A 17,477-nucleotide genomic window follows, 5' to 3' on the forward strand; every position below is an offset into this window, starting at 1 on the left:
CAGGCATGAGCCATCGCACCCAGGTCACACCTGTTCTTTTTTAAAATAGCTTGATCAAGCTAGAAGTCACATACCCTACAATTCATCCATTTAAAGGGTACAGTTTAATGGCTTTTAGTATGTTTACAGGTAGTGTAACCATCACCGCTACCAATTTATTGCCACACTATCAATTTATTTATTTATTTATTTTAGAGACGGGGTCTGTCTCTGTTACCCAGGCTGGAGTGCAATGGTGTGATCACGGCTCACTACAGCCTTGACCATCTGGGCTCAAGCGATCCCCCTTCCTCAGCCTGCCAAGGAGCTGGAACTACAGGCACACTCCACCACACCTGCCTAATGTTAAAGTTTTTTTGTAGAGCTGGGGTCTCAATCTGCTGCCTAGGCTGGTCTTGAATGCCTGGCCTCAGGTAATCTTCCCACCATAGCCTTGCAAAGTGTTGGGATTACAGGTGTGAGCAACCATGCCCGGCCATCACTGTCAATTTTAGGGCGTTTTCATCACCACAAAGAGAAACTTTGTGCCCTTTAGTCATCACTCCGCTGTCCTTCCACCCCGCAGCCCTAAGCAACTGCTCGTTCACTTTCTGTCTCTATACATTTGCCTATTCTTGACATTTTGTGTAAGGGAAATGAGATGATATGTGGCTTCTTTCACTTAACCCAGTGTTTCCAAGTTTCATCCATGTTGTAGCATTGTGTCACTACCTCCTTTTTCATGGCTGGATAACACTCCGTTGCAGGGATGTTCCGTGTTTTGTTTATCTGTTCATCTGGTGATGGGCATATGGGTTGTTTCCATGTTTTGGCCTGTTTTGTTGGAGTATGCTGCTATGAACATCCATGCCTTACCTACCTTCTGCCTGATTTTGCCTAACTTGCTAAGTTTAGCCTCTTGGCTTTTAGCCAAGCTGGAGGCAGGCAGGCCAGTGTGGGAGGACAATTAGACAAGCTGGGCTCAGTATGTGAGGCGGGGATTCTGGAGGCTGGGGAGGAGATAGCTGGTCTTAGAGGGGTGGAGACCACCTCTTTCCCACCAGTTCCCATTGGGACACTTAAATCCTCCTCCCTCTTGTCCTCTCTCTTTTCACCTTAATAGTGACAGTCAGAGGCAACATTATGGCAAGGCCTTTTGAGCACAGAATGTCAATGGATCCTAAAACACACAAACACACACTACACACACGCACTTACACACACACGCACACACACAGCGAAGTGGATATTATTGGCATGCTCAGTTTATAGACAGGGGAATTTAAGCTTAGGAGTCGAAGTGAATTTGCCAAGCCCTGCAACTGTTGGGGCAGTATTTGAACCCAGACCTGTCCAGTTGTTGGAGAAACCTGATATGCCCCCTCCTTCCTGCCTGTTCCACCACCCTGGATCTCAGCTCGCCCCAGTGCCACCTTGCCGATTCAATCCAGTCCAGTCCAAACCTCATGCCTGAGTGTGTGTGGGCCAGGGCTGAGGAGGGTAAGGGGAGATGCTAGGGCAGGACCTTGCTGGATTTATGATGTGCCAACCCTGGCTTGGGCCCCGGAATCCAGATCTGAACTAGACACCATCCCTGGAGGCTGGAAATCAAGGTGGGGGAGGGGGTGCAGGCGGGGAGGCGTTGGCATGGAAGACCTGGCGACAGGGCGGGAGGTGCGGGGGGAACATGACCCAGTCTGGGTGGTGGAGTTCAAGGCAGGCTTCCTGGGATGGCAGTACTTGAGTAGGATCCGGGTGGCTCCTGAGGGAATGGCATGAGTAGAGGTGTGGAAGAGAGTAACAGGGAGAAAGGGTGCAGTGGTTTTGCCTAGAGTGGTTCTGTGGGTGGAGCCCAGAGTGTGAGGGATGAGATTTGAGAGATGGAGACAGGGTAGACCCTGAAGGGCCTAGAATGCCAGGCAAAGATGCTCAGACCTTCTGTGTGCGATAGGGAGACATGGAGGATTCTAGAAGGAGAGTAGCTTATGCATTTGGAAAGCTGCTCTGGAGTGGAGGTGGAGGTGGGAGTGGCTGAGGGAGGGGCTGGCAAGCAATTGTGGGGACCCCGAAGGGTTGGGGTAGAGGTCAGAGGTGGCAGTGACAGGAGGAGGGACTGACACAGAACTGGGGTGGGGACAGGAAGGGGGTGGAAGATTTGAAAAAATCCAGGAGGTGAATCCAAAGAATCAGATGCACAGGAGTCCTGAATCCTCAGGTCTGGGAAGATTCCAGGGTCTACACCCCGATTTTAGCCAGCGAGCCCTCAGCTGGGATGAAATCTTCCACAGAAACCCAACCACTCAAATGAACATGGGGCTGGAGCTACTGCAGAGCCAGGCAGCAGGATTCCATTTACGCAAGTTCTAGAAGACACAAAACTGATCTATGGTGACGGAAAGCAGATCGGTGGCTGCCTGGATTGGGGCACTCATATGAAGGGGTACAGGGGAAACTTCTAGGGTGACAAAATGTTCTAGAGCTTGATCATGATGGTTACCTGGGCGTAGATACTTGCCACACTCATCCAACTGTACATTTAAGACCTGTGCATTTTACTGTGTGTAAATTATATCTCATAAAGAGAAGGAGAAAAATCTAGTAGCTAAAAACTGGTAAAACAGAAATAGCTCTGGGGTGGCCGGGTGTAGTGGCTCATACATACCTGTAATCCCAGCACTTTGGGAGTCTGACTTGGGCAGATTGCTTGAGCCAGGAGTTTGAGACCAGCCTGGGCAACATGTTGAAATCCAGTCTCTACAAAAAATACAAACATTAGCTAGTGTTGTGACACATGCCTGTAGTCCCAGCTACTTGGGAGGTTGAGGTGGGATGGGAGGTTGAGGCTGCAGTGAACTGAGATCGTGCCACTGCACTCCAGCCTGGGCAACAGAGAGACCCTGTTTCAAAAAAAAAGAAGAAGAAGGAAGGAAGGAAGGAAGGAAGGAAGGAAAGGCAGGCAGGCAGGCAGGCAGGCAGGCAGGCCGGCAGGCAAAGAGCTCTGGGGTGAGGCAAAGTTGGGGGTGAATTCTGCTCCCCTCACCGCCAGAGCAGACCCTGAGCTGCCCCCAGGCTCCTGGGGCTCCCAGCCCAGCGTCCGTTCCCTGTGGCTCCCAGGGTGTCCCCGACCATCAGCACCCACCTGCCCTGCTCAGGTTGCTGCCTGCAGGGAGGGACGCTGGGCAGCCCCTCTTGCAAATCCTGAATTAATGAATCCCAGGAATCTGCTGCCTGTGAACAGCCTCTTCTTTGGGGTTTGGGTGAGAACCATAGGGATTAGGGCCTGGCAGGCAGGGCGCCTCCTCCCGGGGGCTCAGTTTTCACCCCAGGGGAAATCTGAACTGGCCCCCCGATCCCCCACTCTAGTTTCCCCTTTGCAACAATCCCTTGTTCTTACAAGAGGCATTATCTGCCTAATCCCTGCCCGCCCTCGCTGGCTCCTGGGGCACAGGAGTGCGTGGGGCCCACGCTGCCCCCCTCCTGGCTGCTCCCTGCCCTGGGTGCCCAGGGGCATCCCTGCCCCAGTCCTTTTGGCCAAGGTGGTTGGACCATGGGGAGAGAAAATGGCAGGCCATGGATGGGTCCTATGTCCCAGGCCTGTCTAGCATGACGCTGAACACAAACACGGGCACACACGTACACACACTCATGCCCACCCTCACATGCAGACACACTTTTGGGGAATTTCTGGGTTGGCTGATGTGAATAGAACGGGCGGGTGAGTGGTACCTTTGCACCCCCACTTAGTTCTGAAAGGGTCAGCTGTGCAAAGGGTGGGATTGATGTCACAGTGTCCGATGGGACGGGCTGGGTGTTAGACATTTTGTACATCCTCTTGCAGGGGGTGGGGGCCAGACAGACCTAACTTGGAATCCAAACTCCACCACTCCCTGGCCGCATGTACTTGAGCAGTTTCCTTATCTGTCAAATGGGAATCATGAGTATTTTCCCCGGAAGGAAGGGAGGCTTGAAGGAGGTAGCATGAGCAGGGCTCTGGGGGAGATGCTCCATGAATGGTGGCTTCTTGTTATGAACAAAACCATTTCCTGGTCATAGTCCTGCTTCTCTGCACACCCTGAGGTGCCTGTGTCTCAAATGAGTGCCTGTCTAGATGTGACCATCTGTGCATGTGGTGGGGTGCCGTGCCCCAGGTATTGCCATCACCGTACCTAACATTGCACTGTTGGGAAGGGGACCCAATCCTTGGTCACTTGAAGTCTTGTGGTGTTTCCCTGGCTGCCCTCTGAGCCTTTGCTGCTGTGATCGCCTCTGTATGGGTTACTGATAACCAGGGGAGAAGGTGGGTGGGGTGCTGGGGGGAGGCAGCCGGGGTCTGGAACAGGATCCCCAACACGGGAGGCAGGCAGGACCACGGATAACCTTAGCCAATGCCACGATTTAGCCATGGGCTGATCCCAGCTGAGGACCTGGGGATGATGGGGGAGAGGATCCCTGGGATAAGTTGAAACGGCCGGACGGCTCTGACCTCCATGTTTGAGGCTGTTCAGATGGCCAGGGTAGCTGGGGTTGGCAGGTTTGGGAGAAGATGCTGAGCAGAGGCCTTGAAGAGACTGCTTAGTTTCCGGAAGTTCAGAAGGGATGAAATGGGATTGGCTGTCGTCTTCTCTGAGAACTCATGGCCAACCTTCCACTCATTGGTGCAGGGAGGCCTGTCCTACACCTCTGGAGGCCTCCTGGAGTTCTAATATCCCCCGCAGGGGTCTTCATTCCAGTGCAGGAGGAAGGCAGGGGGCGCTCCTCCTCCCTCACCCACTCCTACGGCCTCCACAGAGACCTGATGCCGACGTTTGGAGGCTGAGTCCTTCAGGGCCCCTCCTGGGGTGACAGATTCTGAGCTCAGGAGAAGCTGGTGGCTCCATGCAGAGAGTTGTGCAGACTCGGAGCTTTGTCCTAGGTCTGCCTCTGCCCTGCTGTGTGGCCTCAGGACCATCAAACCTCTCTGGGCCTCAGCACCTGGTCTCTCAGAGGTCCCTGGAGCTCAGCTGTGTGAGAAGGGGCTCTTTATTGTCCGTCTGGGACCCCTGCTCTGGGGCATGGATCCCAGGAGAGAGGGCTCCCCCTGGGCAGATGCTGGGCTAAGGGAGCAGCCACCTGGAAGTCAGGAGGCCTAGGTCCAGGCTCTGCCTTTTCAGGCCTCAGTCTCCCCCCTGTGAAAAAAGGAGGCCAGGCTCTCTCAGAGGGGATACTGGGCCATCAGATTGCGAGGGAAGAGAGGGGAGGGTGGGCAGTGGCTGGGTGGGGCAGGGCAGGAGTGGCCCTCACCCAGGGCACACAAAGGGGCCATGTGTCCTCGGTGGGCAGTGAGGGGCGGGCCCGGGCGTCTGCTCTAGGGATGGGATTTGGCTTCAGAGAGGGGCTTTATTATGTTTCCTTTTTAATTACAATGGTCCTGGCTCCTACAACGGCAGCTTTTGTTGGGGCGGCTTAGGAGAGGGAGGGAGGCAGGGCTGGCCAGTCTGGGGCTGGAGGGGCTTGATGGGAGGGGGCCTTGCTCAGACCCTCCTGTCTGTACCCTGGGAAGGGAGGTGTGGGGGCATGAGGGAGGGGCCGGCTTTGGGGGTGGAGCAGCTGAGTTTGAGCCAAAGGGACACTTCTTCCTGCTGCATTTCTTTGCCACACTCCAAGTTCTGACATCCAACACCGCAGGGTGGCTGACCCCCGCCCTCCTCCCTCGGTGGCCCACAGGGATCTCAAGTTCAACATCAACTTCCCCCTAGACTGACTCCAGATTCTATATTGTTCATCTCAGCAAATTCATTCATTCATTCATTCAGCACACATTTATTGAGTAGCTACTCTGTGGCTGATCCCACTCTAGGGGCCAAGGGTGCATCCGTGAACAAGCACACCCGAATTCCCTGTTCTGTGGAGCTGGTAACCTAGCATTTACCTGTTTGTATGCTTTGTCCTCACAGTTTCTAGAAAGGCGGGATTGTGCCTTGAGCCTGCCCAGCTCGGCACTCATGACAAAGCCTGGCATATAGTAGGCTCTTTGGAAATGTTTCTGTGCCAAAGAAGGAAAGAACCATCCAGAAGGCAGGTAGACCCTGAGGGCCAGGAGGATGCTCGGACCTGGGGAAAGGCCTGGAAGGAGATGCTCGAGCCTGCCAACACTGGGAGGTGGGGATCAATGACCAGCTGACACAACGCTACGTCACTTGTTCCAATGTGCATTTGTTATTTTGTGTTTTGAAAAAGCGAGTAAGAAAATCTTGAAATGAAAAAGAGATTGAATAAACAAGTACTTTAATGACAACAAACCAAGTATAAGATTTGTAGTTTTCCCCTAAGAAATAAAACATGTGAATTTTGGACTCAGCCACATCTGCTGTTTCCCAGATGTGTGGCCTTGGGCAAGACTCAGCCTCCCTGAGTCTCAGTGCCCTCATCTGTACCCTCGCAGGGCTGCTGGGGGATGACATGGGCTCATGGCTGGGAAGGTCAGATGTATCACTACTGCTCTAGGCCCCTGGAGTATTGGGGGTGTGGCCCCTAAGATGAAGGAGCCCCTCACTGTGGGACCATCACAGCGCCCACCCACTGCAGACACCAGCACCCCTGAAGCTCCAGGGCCCCAACCGTGCCTTACAGGGGTGTCCCTAAAGCTGGGGACTTCACACCACAGCCTCCTGCTCACTCCCCAGGGCCCTACTGAGAAAGCCATAAGGGACACCAGCCTCTTCCTGTTGTCTTAGGGCTGGAGTCCAGGACTCCTGGGCTGTCCAGGCCCCTGCTAGCTGGGCTCCTCTGAACTGCAGGGGCCAGGCACTGCTGGGTGTTAGGGGAATGGGAGCTGTTGGGCAAAGTCCAGCTGGAGGCTTGCAACAGAAAACTCAGTTCCATCCCTAGAACCCTGGGATGGCAGAGGGGTATGCCTCCTGTGGCCCCACCCATAATCCCCATCCCTCTTAGCCAGGGTAGAGACCCCTGCTCAGATCCTTGATGAGGACTTCTTGGATCACTCTAAATAAAAGAGCGTAACCTCTTTTCTGGCTTCCCAGCACCCACTGGCATATGGCCCGCTGGCTGCTAACACGGGCTCTAGAGCCCCACTGCCTGAGCCCGAGTCTGCTGACCCATGGAAGGTGGACTCCTTGAGGATGGGGACTTTTATCTGTTCACAGCCTCTGCATGAGCTGGAGCACTCTCCCCATTTTACAGACAGGGAGACTGAGGTTCGGAAAGGACAAGCGGCTCTTCTAAGGCCAAACAGCACATCCACAACAGTACAAGAACCCTCAAATCACTCTCCTCTCTGGGACATCCCACCACCATTTCTTCTGGTTACTAATGTCCCCCTTCCCCAGCCCCAGACACTGCACCCGTTGCTCTTGTCCCCACAGCCTCCAGAAAAGGCTATGTCCTCCAGGGGAGGCTGTGATTTAAGGTTTGGTTTAAGTGCTGACATGTGAGTGGGGAGCAGGTGGGGGCAGCGTGGGTGGTGGGGGAAGCGCTTCCCGCCCTGCCAGGCGCCCCATCTGGACAGCGAGGCTGCAACCTGATCTTCGGGCTGAGAGCTGCTCTATTTCGGGGGTGGCACTGGAGGCCCAGGCACCCTGACTGGGGGAAGGGGTGCCTCCTGCCCCTGCTACAGGCTTGGAACATAGGCCCTCGCCCGTGGGCCGTTCCAGAGAGCAGGGGCGGGGCACCTCTTCCTGATCCCTGGTGGGCAGACTAGGAAGGCAGGGCCAGGGTCGCAGAGAAAGTCTCCCTTGCTTCAGGGGCTGAAGGCTCCAGACCCACAGGCAGGGACAGAGGAAATGCGTAGGGGTCCTTGTCACCGCTCTGCCAGCATCTCACTTTGTGACCTTGGGCAAGTCACTCTCCCTCTCTGGGCCTCAGTGTCCTCATTGGTGTCCTCACTACTTCAGGTCTTATCCAGCTCTGGGATTCCATCTTCTTGGCAAGAAAGAAAAAGATCCGCATGCTCAAAGATTCTAGGGACAGAGGGGCTGGTTCAGACATTTTAAGATGAAGGGAAGAATTCATGAGTAAAAAGAATGGTTCAAGCATTCTGAGTTAGTGATATTGGGGTTATTACATGATCACTAGGTGGTCCAGAAAGTATATTTGCCCCTAGAGCACAGCCCATGAGAGTGGAAGCCCTGGGGGGAGAGGGAGTATGGGAGGGCCAGCAGTGGCCATGACGGGTGCAGGTGGCCCCCCAGGGCTGACCCGATCTGATCCTGAGTTGAGGCCAGGAGAGCAGCTGATACTCTCTGATTGCCCTGGCCTTTCTGCCAGGACCCACCGGGCTGCTGCTGATGGCAATGTCTGCCAGAGTCGCAGAGCGAGAGTGTGAGCATGGACAGAGAGCCCCTGAGGACGCTGGGCTCCTGTCCTGCCTTGCAGCCTCCCAGGCGGGTGCTGGCTGCCTTCCTGGCACAGCCTGGACCCTGGGGAAAAGCTGCCTTGGGCATAAGCTCTTGTGGAGCCCTGTTGAGCCAGGGCTTCTGGGAAGCTGGTGAGACTGGACCTGGCCCTGGCAAGGTCTGGGTGTGGGGCAGGGGGGAGGAGCTCCTAGGCCATCCATCCAACCCACGCCCCATGCATGGCTTAACCTCTCGGAGCCTCCACTGCTCCATCTGTAAAATGAGGACACGGGTACTCCTAGATGAAATGATACAAGCAGAGGACGATGCCTTGCACACCCCACAGTCATGGAGATCTACAGGCTGGGGCCAGGGGCAGCTGGAAGGGAGAGGGACGCAGGCTCTGTGGGAGGAAGGGGGCACTTCTCAGGGGAGAGGCCTTGGACCTAAGACCCCAGCACCTCCTGCAGGCAGGGCCGGGCCCAAGGGCTCCTGCTTTGCAGCCCAGGACTTGGTCCAGAACCCCCACAGCTGCCTTTCTTTGCCCCCGAATTTTTAAATATGAAAAATCTCCATTTACCAGTTAATGAAAAGCTGGATCCAGGGCTGGCTGTAAGAAGGAGGCTGCAGATATAATTCTAGGTCCAGAGACCTGGGGAAGACCGAGTCAGGAGGGGAGCTTGTCTTTCCTCAAGTCACACTGAGACCCCGGGAAATAGGAGGGGACGCAGGGGACTGGCAAGTCCCCAAAATGTCCTGGGGCCACATGATTTCAGGGTTGTGTGTGTGTGTGTGTTTGTGTGTGCAGGAGCTATCTCCATATCAATATTAACTATCTCTGTATTGAGTTTATAATCTATCAATAAGTAGTTTCTTCATCCAAGTTATTTTGCTTCACAAAGGGTTTCATTAAGCAAGAAGAAATGTATAATCCAAAAGAATAATATAAAAAATAAAAAATCAGAAGTTTCTGCTGTACATGTGAATGACTGGCACAGTTTCTGAAAAGTTAATATAAACCTTTTGAAAAATCGGGATTGGGCCTCCTGGTACTGTGGAAAATGCAGGAGATGGAGCATGTCATTCGACCTCTCTGAGCCTCAGTTTCCACATCTGGAAGTTGGGGAGAGCAGTTTCTGTCTCATTGCTGTGATGTGGGGATTAAATGATCAAGTGTTTACAGAGCGCCTGGTCTCTGCTTGGTGCAGGGGCAGTCACGGGTCCATGGAGATGCTTCTTGAAGTTTTGCGCTTGATTTGTGTTGGAAATGTGTCATCCAGACAGGCTTCCTGGAGGAGGCGTGGCCTTCGAAGCTGTTCTGAGAGTCCAGGTGGGAGCCTGTGGAAACAGGACCAGGAGGAGGAGCCGGGGGCTGTGGGCACCTAGGGTGGGCTACGGGTAGCTCAGGAGGTTGCTGGTAGAGCCCTGAGGATGAGGGAGGGAAGTGATTTGGGGGACTGGGCTTGCTGGGCCTGTCCTAAAACGAGGAATGGGATGGAAGGGAAAGGAGAAGAGAGACCTATATTCTCTCAGCCCCCTCCCAGACACCCTGTGGGGAAGATGCATGGGTGAGCCCCACTATACAGATGTGAAAACTGAGGCCCATAGAGGGCTCTTGGGCAGCTATTCATGCTGGTGACTCAGATGGGGAGGGGGAAGACAGACATGAGCAGCTTTGCTTGAGCTTGTGATGTGTTGGGTTTCATTCCAAGCAAAAAAAATGTTAAAAACCCTCATCAAATAAAGAGTAAAAAACAATAATTTGAAAAAGAAGGAAAGGCAGGCCAGGGAGCCCAGGCAGCCAGGCTGGGGTGGCACAGTCGGGACGTAACACAGCTGGGTGGAAGCCCCTGGTGTCCACCAAAGCCTGTGCTCCTTCTTCTGGGCTGGACTGGGGCAGGGGCCTCCTTCTCAGGGACTCAGCAGGGGCTCAGCAGCCCCCTCCGTGGAGTTTATTGGGTCCTTAATGGGCTCTCAGAGACCTGGCACCTGCCGCCTTTTCTGTTCTAATAAAAGGCAGATGCCTTGGGGGTGGATGGGGGTAGTGTGTGGGGGGCTCTGGCTCGTGGCCACTCTGGGTGACACATTCCTGGGTCCTGACTCACAGGGAAACGTCTTCGTCTTCGTGACTCCTCAGCACTTTTGGGCCCTGCAGCTGTGGCCGCATTCCTCCTCGTCCTCCCCTCCCCTCCCGCCGGTCCCTCCAGCTGGAGCTGCTGCTAATGGCATTGACCCATCCTGGGCTGTGGAGACTGAGGCCGCTGGAGGATGGGTACTGGTTTCCATACTGTGCCACACAGAGTGAGGGAGGGAAGAGGACCTTCTCACCTGGGGGATGCCCTTGGCTTAGGGCAGTGAATCTCAATCAGGAGAGATTTTGCCCTTCGGGGGACTTTTGGGAATGTCTGGAGACATTTTTGGTTGTTGCAACTGGCGATGTTGGTGTGCCCTGCCATTCTGTTGGCATTGATAAGGGTAGAGGCAAGTGATGTTGCCAAACATTCTACAATGAACAGGACAGCCCTCATAACAGAGAACCATCGATTGTCCCAAAGCTGGGGCACCCTGGCCTGGAGTCCCCCGGGCCAAGGCCTGGAATAGGGATTCAGTGTCCCCATTGCACACACTCTCTGTAAGCCTCTCACTGTGGGAGACCCTGGAGCTGATACTGGAGACGCTGAGATGATCCAGTTTCAAATCCTGGTGGTCCAGAAACCTTCCAGTCTGGCATGCGAGACAGACAAGTGCCTGGCTTGTTCTCAGCCACCATAGCAAGGGAACTTCCAGAAGAGCAAGCAGGAGGTCACGAGTCTTGGGCTTGGAGGACAGACCCATGATGTCAGGGAAAGAGCACTAGACAAGGAGTCCGCAGTCCCAGCTCTGACCAGCTGAAGAAACACAGACAAGCCATCCATGTCCCCCTCTTTGGGCCTCAGTTTTGTCCTCTGGTCATTGCTGAGCTGAAATCTCTAACTCTAAGGGCCCGAGCTGTGCCAGTCTTGGATTCTAGACTCAATTCATTTGCAGTGTGGTGGAGGGGCTTGAGGTACAGCATAGAGGTGGGCAAGCCATGGCCGAATCCAGCTGGGCGCCTGCATTTGTGAAAAAAATAATGTCTCTGCACTGTCTATGGCTACATCAGCAAAGTGGAGTACTTGCAACAGAGACTGTCTGGCCCTCAAGTGCTAAAATATTTTCTCTCTGGCCCTTAGAGGAAAAGGTTGTTGGCTCCCCCACACTAATGGGCAGATTTCAGGTGTAAGTCACTGGCCAGTTGGGAATTAGAGGAGAGGTATTTGTTTGGCAGGGGGCGTGGGAAGGGCATATTTTGATGGAAGTTTTTTCTAGTGCACTGGTCAGGATCTCAAACTCAGATTCCTCTCTACGGCCTCAGTTTCCCTGTGTGTGAATGGAAATCGCTGTACCTGCCTGGCACAGTGGGTAAGGAGGGAAAGTCTCGTGCCTGGGCCAGGCTGGCGGAGCTGGGTTATTTATGGTTTCCGCCGGGAGGGGGGCTGCAGGCCGCGGGCCGTGTCTGACCTGAATTCTTACACTTACAGGAAATTAGAGCCCTTGGAAGCAGGTGCGCTGGGATCCTAACACTCGGGTGGCCGAGAGGGCGATGTGGCTGAGGCAACAGGGAAAGGGGGCTGGACTGGGCTGGGGGCTGGAGGAGGGGCCAGTCCCGAGGGGACGGGGCTCCAACCTCACCTTCCTGCTGTCGTGGAGAAGAAAAGTGGTAATGACCGCTACTGTGCACTGGGCTCTCGCTCTGTGCTTTGCTTGTGTTTGCTCAGTTAATCCTCCCAACATGCCTCTAAGGTAAGATGATTGCCCCTCATTTTACAGATGGGGAAACTGAGGCTCAGTGAGGTGTGCTCACTTGCCCATGAGCACAGAGCAGGCGTTAGAGTCAGGATTTGAACCCAGGAAAGGCTGTACAATTCCAATTCTTATATCCTCTTTTCCATACCAGCCACCTATGGGCAACAAGGTCTCCAAGGAAACTCCAGAACATTCTGTGGGTTTCAGTGGTTACCTGCTGAGGCGGCATTGGGCATGGAGCATCCGAGGGTCCAAGGTGAGAAAGAATCAGGGTGTGTGGCTTATGGTCCAGTTCCAGGGTTGGAGCGGGAGGGTGAGTGGTCGGCGTCTGTGGCAAGCAGCTGTGGGGCTTTTGGGAGCTGGCCGTAGGCAAGGGAGTGCCAAGTGTCTGCAGTCAGAGGCCAGGAGCCTGGGAGGCTGGAGAGATGGGGTCTGGTCTGCCCTGAGGTCGGGCCTGGCCGGGGGTGCCCTGGGTGGGCTGCCTGTCTGCAGCGGGCAGGTAGGTGAGCCTCGTGCACACTGGGTCATGTGTGACGAGTCTTTGATTTATAAGAATGTGTGGGAGTGTGAACTCATGTGCAACAGTGTGAGTGTGAGACAGGGTGGGTGTGATTGTTTGAATATTTGTATGTTTGCAGAGGCGGGTGAGGCTTGGTAAGGGCCAAGATGTCTTCAATTTGGGGACTTTCTTTATTAAAAGGAATGCAAAATGACAAATACTAAAGAGACTTTAAAACGAGAAAAGAAACCACAACGAATTACTCAATTTTTAAGCTGACAAATACCACAAACATTACCAAATCCAGAAAAAAATCATAATATTTTTATTAATTAACTCCCTGGCACATTCCTGTACTACTGATTTTTATTTCTCTTTTTGGCTTTGACCATCGTGTGAACACATTGCAAGGGCCCTCCCGGGGCTCTGGAAGGAGGCTGCAGCTCCAGCCTTGGGATGTGTGAGTTTGTGTGAGCGACTGAGGGCGTGGGTGTGTGTGCGGGTGTGACCAAATGTGGGGGCCTGTTTCACAAAAGAGAGATGGAGAGCAAGGCTGTCATGGCAAACTGGCTCAATGGGTATTTGTTGAATAAATAAAAAGGACGATCGCATATGTGAGAGACTGTGTGTGGAGGAGATGCATGTGTGTTTAAGCACGTGCACATGCGTGAATGCATGCATGTGCAGTAGTGGCCGTGGGAAAGAGTGTGTGTGAGTCTGTGTGATCCCTCGGTGTCTTTTCTTTGGCATTCTAGTTTTAGGGAGCCCCTCCCTGCCTGCACCTCCACCCCCACCCATACCCCGCCCAGAGGCAGATGGGCACAGACACGCTGTGGCATTTGGTCCAGGCCTTGCGGGGACAGGCTCAGTGCGCGGAATTCACAGCTCCTTCCCCTGCCCCACCTCCCCTCCTCCCACCGATGAAATGTTGGTAATTCAATCCACGGAGAAGCCCGATGTCCCGGGGAGAGGCTGGCATGGGCAGTGTGTGTGTGTGTGTGTGTGTGTGTGTGTGTGTGTGTGTGTGTGTGTGAGAGAGAGAGAGAGAGAGAGAGAGAGAGAAAGAGACAGAAAGAGAGAGACAGGCAAGCAGAGAGAGAGGAGACACTTGCATTTTTCCAAGCTGGTGGGCTCCCAGCTCATGCCCTTCCTTGTACAAATGGGGACCCCAAGCCTTAGGGGCAGGGAGGGGACATGTCTGAACAAATGAGTGGGAGCAGGTTGGGACCAGAATTCAGCTCTCCCAGGTCAGTGTTTCCGATACAAATAGCCCTTGAAGAGCACTTGCTATGGGCTAAGTAAGCATTGGGTCAGGCTGAGGGGTGGAGGGTGCTTGGACAGAAAGAATCCTGAGTTGCAGCCACTTTTAGAAAAGTAGGGGACTCTGCGAAAGGGAAAGGGGATATGTCTGTGTTTTGGGGGAGCAGCCATGGAGAAGCAGGCAGGGCTAGATTGTGGGGGTCCAGCCCACCAGCCTGGGGAGCCTGGTTTGCTCCTGAAGGGAATGGGAAGGGGTTAGAGGGTCAAGGGTAGTGGGTGGGACGGGCACAGATTTGGGTTTCAGAAGGAGAACTGGCTTCTGTGGGGAGGTGGAGGGGCTGCTGGGGCCCACTGTCACCAAACAGCCGAGTGCCCCATCTGGGCAAGAGGTAGTAGGTCTGATGGGGTAGGGGGCGGGATTGCTAGGCTGGAGACGACCCCAACTCTGGCCTTTTTCACCACTCGCCCCTCCTCCCCATCAGCTTTCCCCTGAGAGGCCTCACACTTGAACTTAGAGGAAGAGTGAGTGGCCCTGGAGCTGGGCCTTCCAGTAGGAGCAGGGTTTCTGCAGGGAAGCAGAGAGAGGAGCCCGGGAGAAGGCACACGGTGAGCAAAGGCAGGGAGGTGGCCCACTGTCCTACCCCCACAGTGGCCTGTGCTTTTTGTCCACTGCAAGGAAGAGCTTAGAACCCCTTTACCTAGTCCCTGCAGGCAACGGAGGCGCATGCTGCTAGGGGTCTTTGGGATGCCTGGAACTTTAGGTCAAGGCTAACGAAGAAAATGTGAGCCCACAGTAGGCCCTGCTCAAATTCCACCTGCAGAAGGATAATTCCTAGAGCCTGTGAGAGCTGCTGGCCCGTCCAGACTCACCCTGCCCCTCTCCCCAGACCTGCCCTGGGCTCTGGGACCTGACAACCCCAGATGGCATCATCTGGGCCCCTTGTTGTCTGGTTTCTGGTTGGCCTTGGCGAACTGGGGGGGTGAGAGCTGAAGTGGGTCATAGGAATTATTTCCCTGCTGAGTTGCCATGGACTGGCTTTGTCCCTCTCCTGCTCTGGACACAGATCCTCTCTGGGTTCTAGTAACTGTTCCTACCCCTCCCCCTTCAGGCTTGAGGGTGGTAGCAGCTTTCCACTCCTACTAGCCCCTGGGTGCAGCACAATTGCTGATGGGTTCCTCTTAACCCCACCCACACCACAGTGGCGGGGTTTTATTTATTTAAAAATGTATTAAATAGAGACAGGGTCTTACTATGTTGGCCAAACTGGTCTTGAACTCTTGGCCCCAAGTGATCCTGCCTCCTTGGCCTCCCAAATTGCTGGGATTATAGGCGTGAGCCACAGTGCCGGGACTGTAAATCCCTTTTCTGTGAGGCTATTTCCTGCTGGGACACTGACCGTGTCGCCCTGCCCTGTCTCCAGCTAGCTTTCCCTTCCCTCTCCTCTGGCTGGGCTCCCACCCTACCCTTAGCTGGGTTGAGGAATGTCACTTTCAAGTTCTCAGTGGGTCCAGAGCTCTGTGGGAGGAGAGCCCCAGAATCATTTCCACAAACATCAAACTCAACAACCACAATGTTAGATAAATAAGGTCTGGCAGGCAGGGTGGCTGCTCAGCCCCGGAGCTCTGGGGAAGGCCTTTGCTCCTGTCTGACCCGTCTGGTCTGCTCACACCCTGAGCTTGCTGGTGTTCTGGTGTGTGCAACCCTCTGGGGTCTTCCGGGCCCACGCTGTGCCTCAGGCCCACAGAGATGCTAAACGGCCCCTCATAGAAGCCCTGACGCTGGGCCCCTTGCAGCTTCTCCCAGGGTGTACCAATGATGCTTCTCCCATGCAGTGAATTCTTCCCACATCTGATCACCCCGTTTTCTGTCCATTTCATAGGGTTCTTCTCAGCCACCGTCAACAACCCCAGCTGCTACCAAGGTGCAAGAACACACAGGCTGCTGTGAAAGGACTGTAGGGGGCAAGGGCAGAGGAAGGGGCCAGCCAGGAGGCTTCCAAAATAATCCAGGCAGGAGAGGATGGTGGCCTGGACAAGGGTGGCAGGTGGAGGAAACTGGCTGGATTCCAGAAATTCTCCCATTTCGGCACCCAGACTCCATGCAGAGTAGAAATGGATGCTCTTGGCTGGGTGCGGGGGCTTGTGCCTGTCATCCCAGCACTTTGGGAGGCTGAGGCAGGTGAATCATGAAGTCAGGAGATCGAGACCATCCTGGCTAATACAGTGAAACCCTGTCTCTACTAAAAATACAAAAAATTAGCCGGGTGTGGTGGCACGCGCCTGTAGTCCCAGCTACTCAAGAGGCTGAGGCAGGAGAATCGCTTGAACCAGGGAGGCGGAGGTTGCAGTGAGCTGAGATCAGGCCACTGCACTCCAGCCTGGGTGACAGAGAGAGACTCTGTCTCAAAAAAAAAAAAAAAAAGATGCTCTTGAATTTGAGTTCTGAAATTTTGCATCCTGTTCCCCATGTGGCGGCCCAGCCATTTTTCCCTTAGGGTGAGTGGGCCTGTGAAACCAGGAGAGCGCTGCTGTGCGTCTAGTCGTCGGGGGCATATTGATCGATTTATTTGACCCTCTGCAGGAGGTGTGCTGAATGTCCCATTCCCCGGTGCTGCCAGCTCCTCAGAGCTCTGTAGGTTACCCCGTGAGACCTTCTCCCTGCACGCCTTTTTTTCTCTAATAGAAATACCTGCTACCTGTTGCCTTCTTCCCTGCAGGATCACAAGCGCTTGCCCAGTGCCTGGCATAGAGGCGGCCATAGCTGGACTCCTACCCTGTTCCAGGCACTGAACCTTCATTTGCCCTGAGACGTCAGGGTGGTCTTAGGACCATGTTTCCAGGGAGGACACAGAGGCACAGGGGCATGAGGACCCTGCCCTGGGTGGTGGCAGAGCTGGGATTTGAACCCGGGTTTGCATGACTCCCAGCCCTGTTCCTGTCCTCTCAGGGGCTGCACCCTCCCCCTGCCCCTTCCTCCTCCCCCTCCTACCAGGCAGGGCTGAGCCAGACTGGGGTTCCAAAGCCCTTCCTCCTTCTCGATCCAGAGATAAATATTTGTTTCTCCAGTGTAAATAGCCCTTCGTGTTTAATGAGGCAATCCTAGGGCCATTTCCTGGCACGGCTCAGGGCCTGGAGGTCTTTCTCGCTCTGGGAGGAACAGTCCTAGGAGGAGAGCCGCTGAGGAGGGGCTCAGGGCCTCTGAGAAAATCCTTCCATTTACAGATGAGGAAACTGCCGCTCAGAGACGGCAGCCGACCCAGCCAAGGCCGCACAGCCAGGATTCAAAGCCATACCGCTCAGCTCCTGCCTCCAGGCTCTGCCTTTGCATGTGGCTTCTCCTGGCTCCTGGACCCTTCCCCGGCCCTCCCAGCTGGCTGTGCTGTGACAGTGGGCGGGGGAGTGCCAAGGCTCTGCCCTGCCCCCCGCCCTTGGCATCTCCGGTCAATATGGCACTCACAGCTCCCTGGGCATGGACCCCCTCCTGCCATCCCCACTTAAAGTGATACTTTAATAAATTATGCTTTTATGTTATTACACGTGGAGCTATAAAAGCAGAGAGTGTGCGGCCGGGCTGAGGTAAGGCG

General features: G+C 54.5%; 1 long non-coding RNA gene across 1 annotated transcript, besides 4 other annotated features; it reads left to right on the top strand.

The window, feature by feature from the left end:
• Nucleotides 7,557–8,266: an enhancer, noted in NCBI's record as "H3K4me1 hESC enhancer chr1:22574593-22575302 (GRCh37/hg19 assembly coordinates)". NCBI's record gives its function as "activates a minimal SCP1, AML or CMV promoter by ChIP-STARR-seq in primed H9 embryonic stem cells {active_cell/tissue: H9 hESC(primed)}" and the evidence as "EXISTENCE:reporter gene assay evidence [ECO:0000049][PMID:30033119]".
• Nucleotides 8,267–8,976: an enhancer, noted in NCBI's record as "H3K4me1 hESC enhancer chr1:22575303-22576012 (GRCh37/hg19 assembly coordinates)". NCBI's record gives its function as "activates a minimal SCP1, AML or CMV promoter by ChIP-STARR-seq in primed H9 embryonic stem cells {active_cell/tissue: H9 hESC(primed)}" and the evidence as "EXISTENCE:reporter gene assay evidence [ECO:0000049][PMID:30033119]".
• LOC107985377 (uncharacterized) lies at nt 12,022–17,424 on the top strand. The gene is made up of 5 exons (XR_001737789.1): nt 12,022–12,131; nt 12,286–12,390; nt 14,376–14,499; nt 15,774–15,815; nt 17,116–17,424. It is a non-coding gene; the product is annotated as an uncharacterized LOC107985377 (long non-coding RNA).
• Nucleotides 13,170–14,074: an enhancer, noted in NCBI's record as "H3K4me1 hESC enhancer chr1:22580206-22581110 (GRCh37/hg19 assembly coordinates)". NCBI's record gives its function as "activates a minimal SCP1, AML or CMV promoter by ChIP-STARR-seq in naive H9 embryonic stem cells {active_cell/tissue: H9 hESC(naive)}" and the evidence as "EXISTENCE:reporter gene assay evidence [ECO:0000049][PMID:30033119]".
• Nucleotides 14,075–14,977: an enhancer, noted in NCBI's record as "H3K4me1 hESC enhancer chr1:22581111-22582013 (GRCh37/hg19 assembly coordinates)". NCBI's record gives its function as "activates a minimal SCP1, AML or CMV promoter by ChIP-STARR-seq in naive H9 embryonic stem cells {active_cell/tissue: H9 hESC(naive)}" and the evidence as "EXISTENCE:reporter gene assay evidence [ECO:0000049][PMID:30033119]".
• Nucleotides 17,425–17,477: the final 53 nt, after the last annotated feature.

This window comes from Homo sapiens, chromosome 1 (genome assembly GCF_000001405.40).
Source record: "Homo sapiens chromosome 1, GRCh38.p14 Primary Assembly".
NCBI classification, from domain to species: Eukaryota; Metazoa; Chordata; class Mammalia; order Primates; family Hominidae; genus Homo; species Homo sapiens.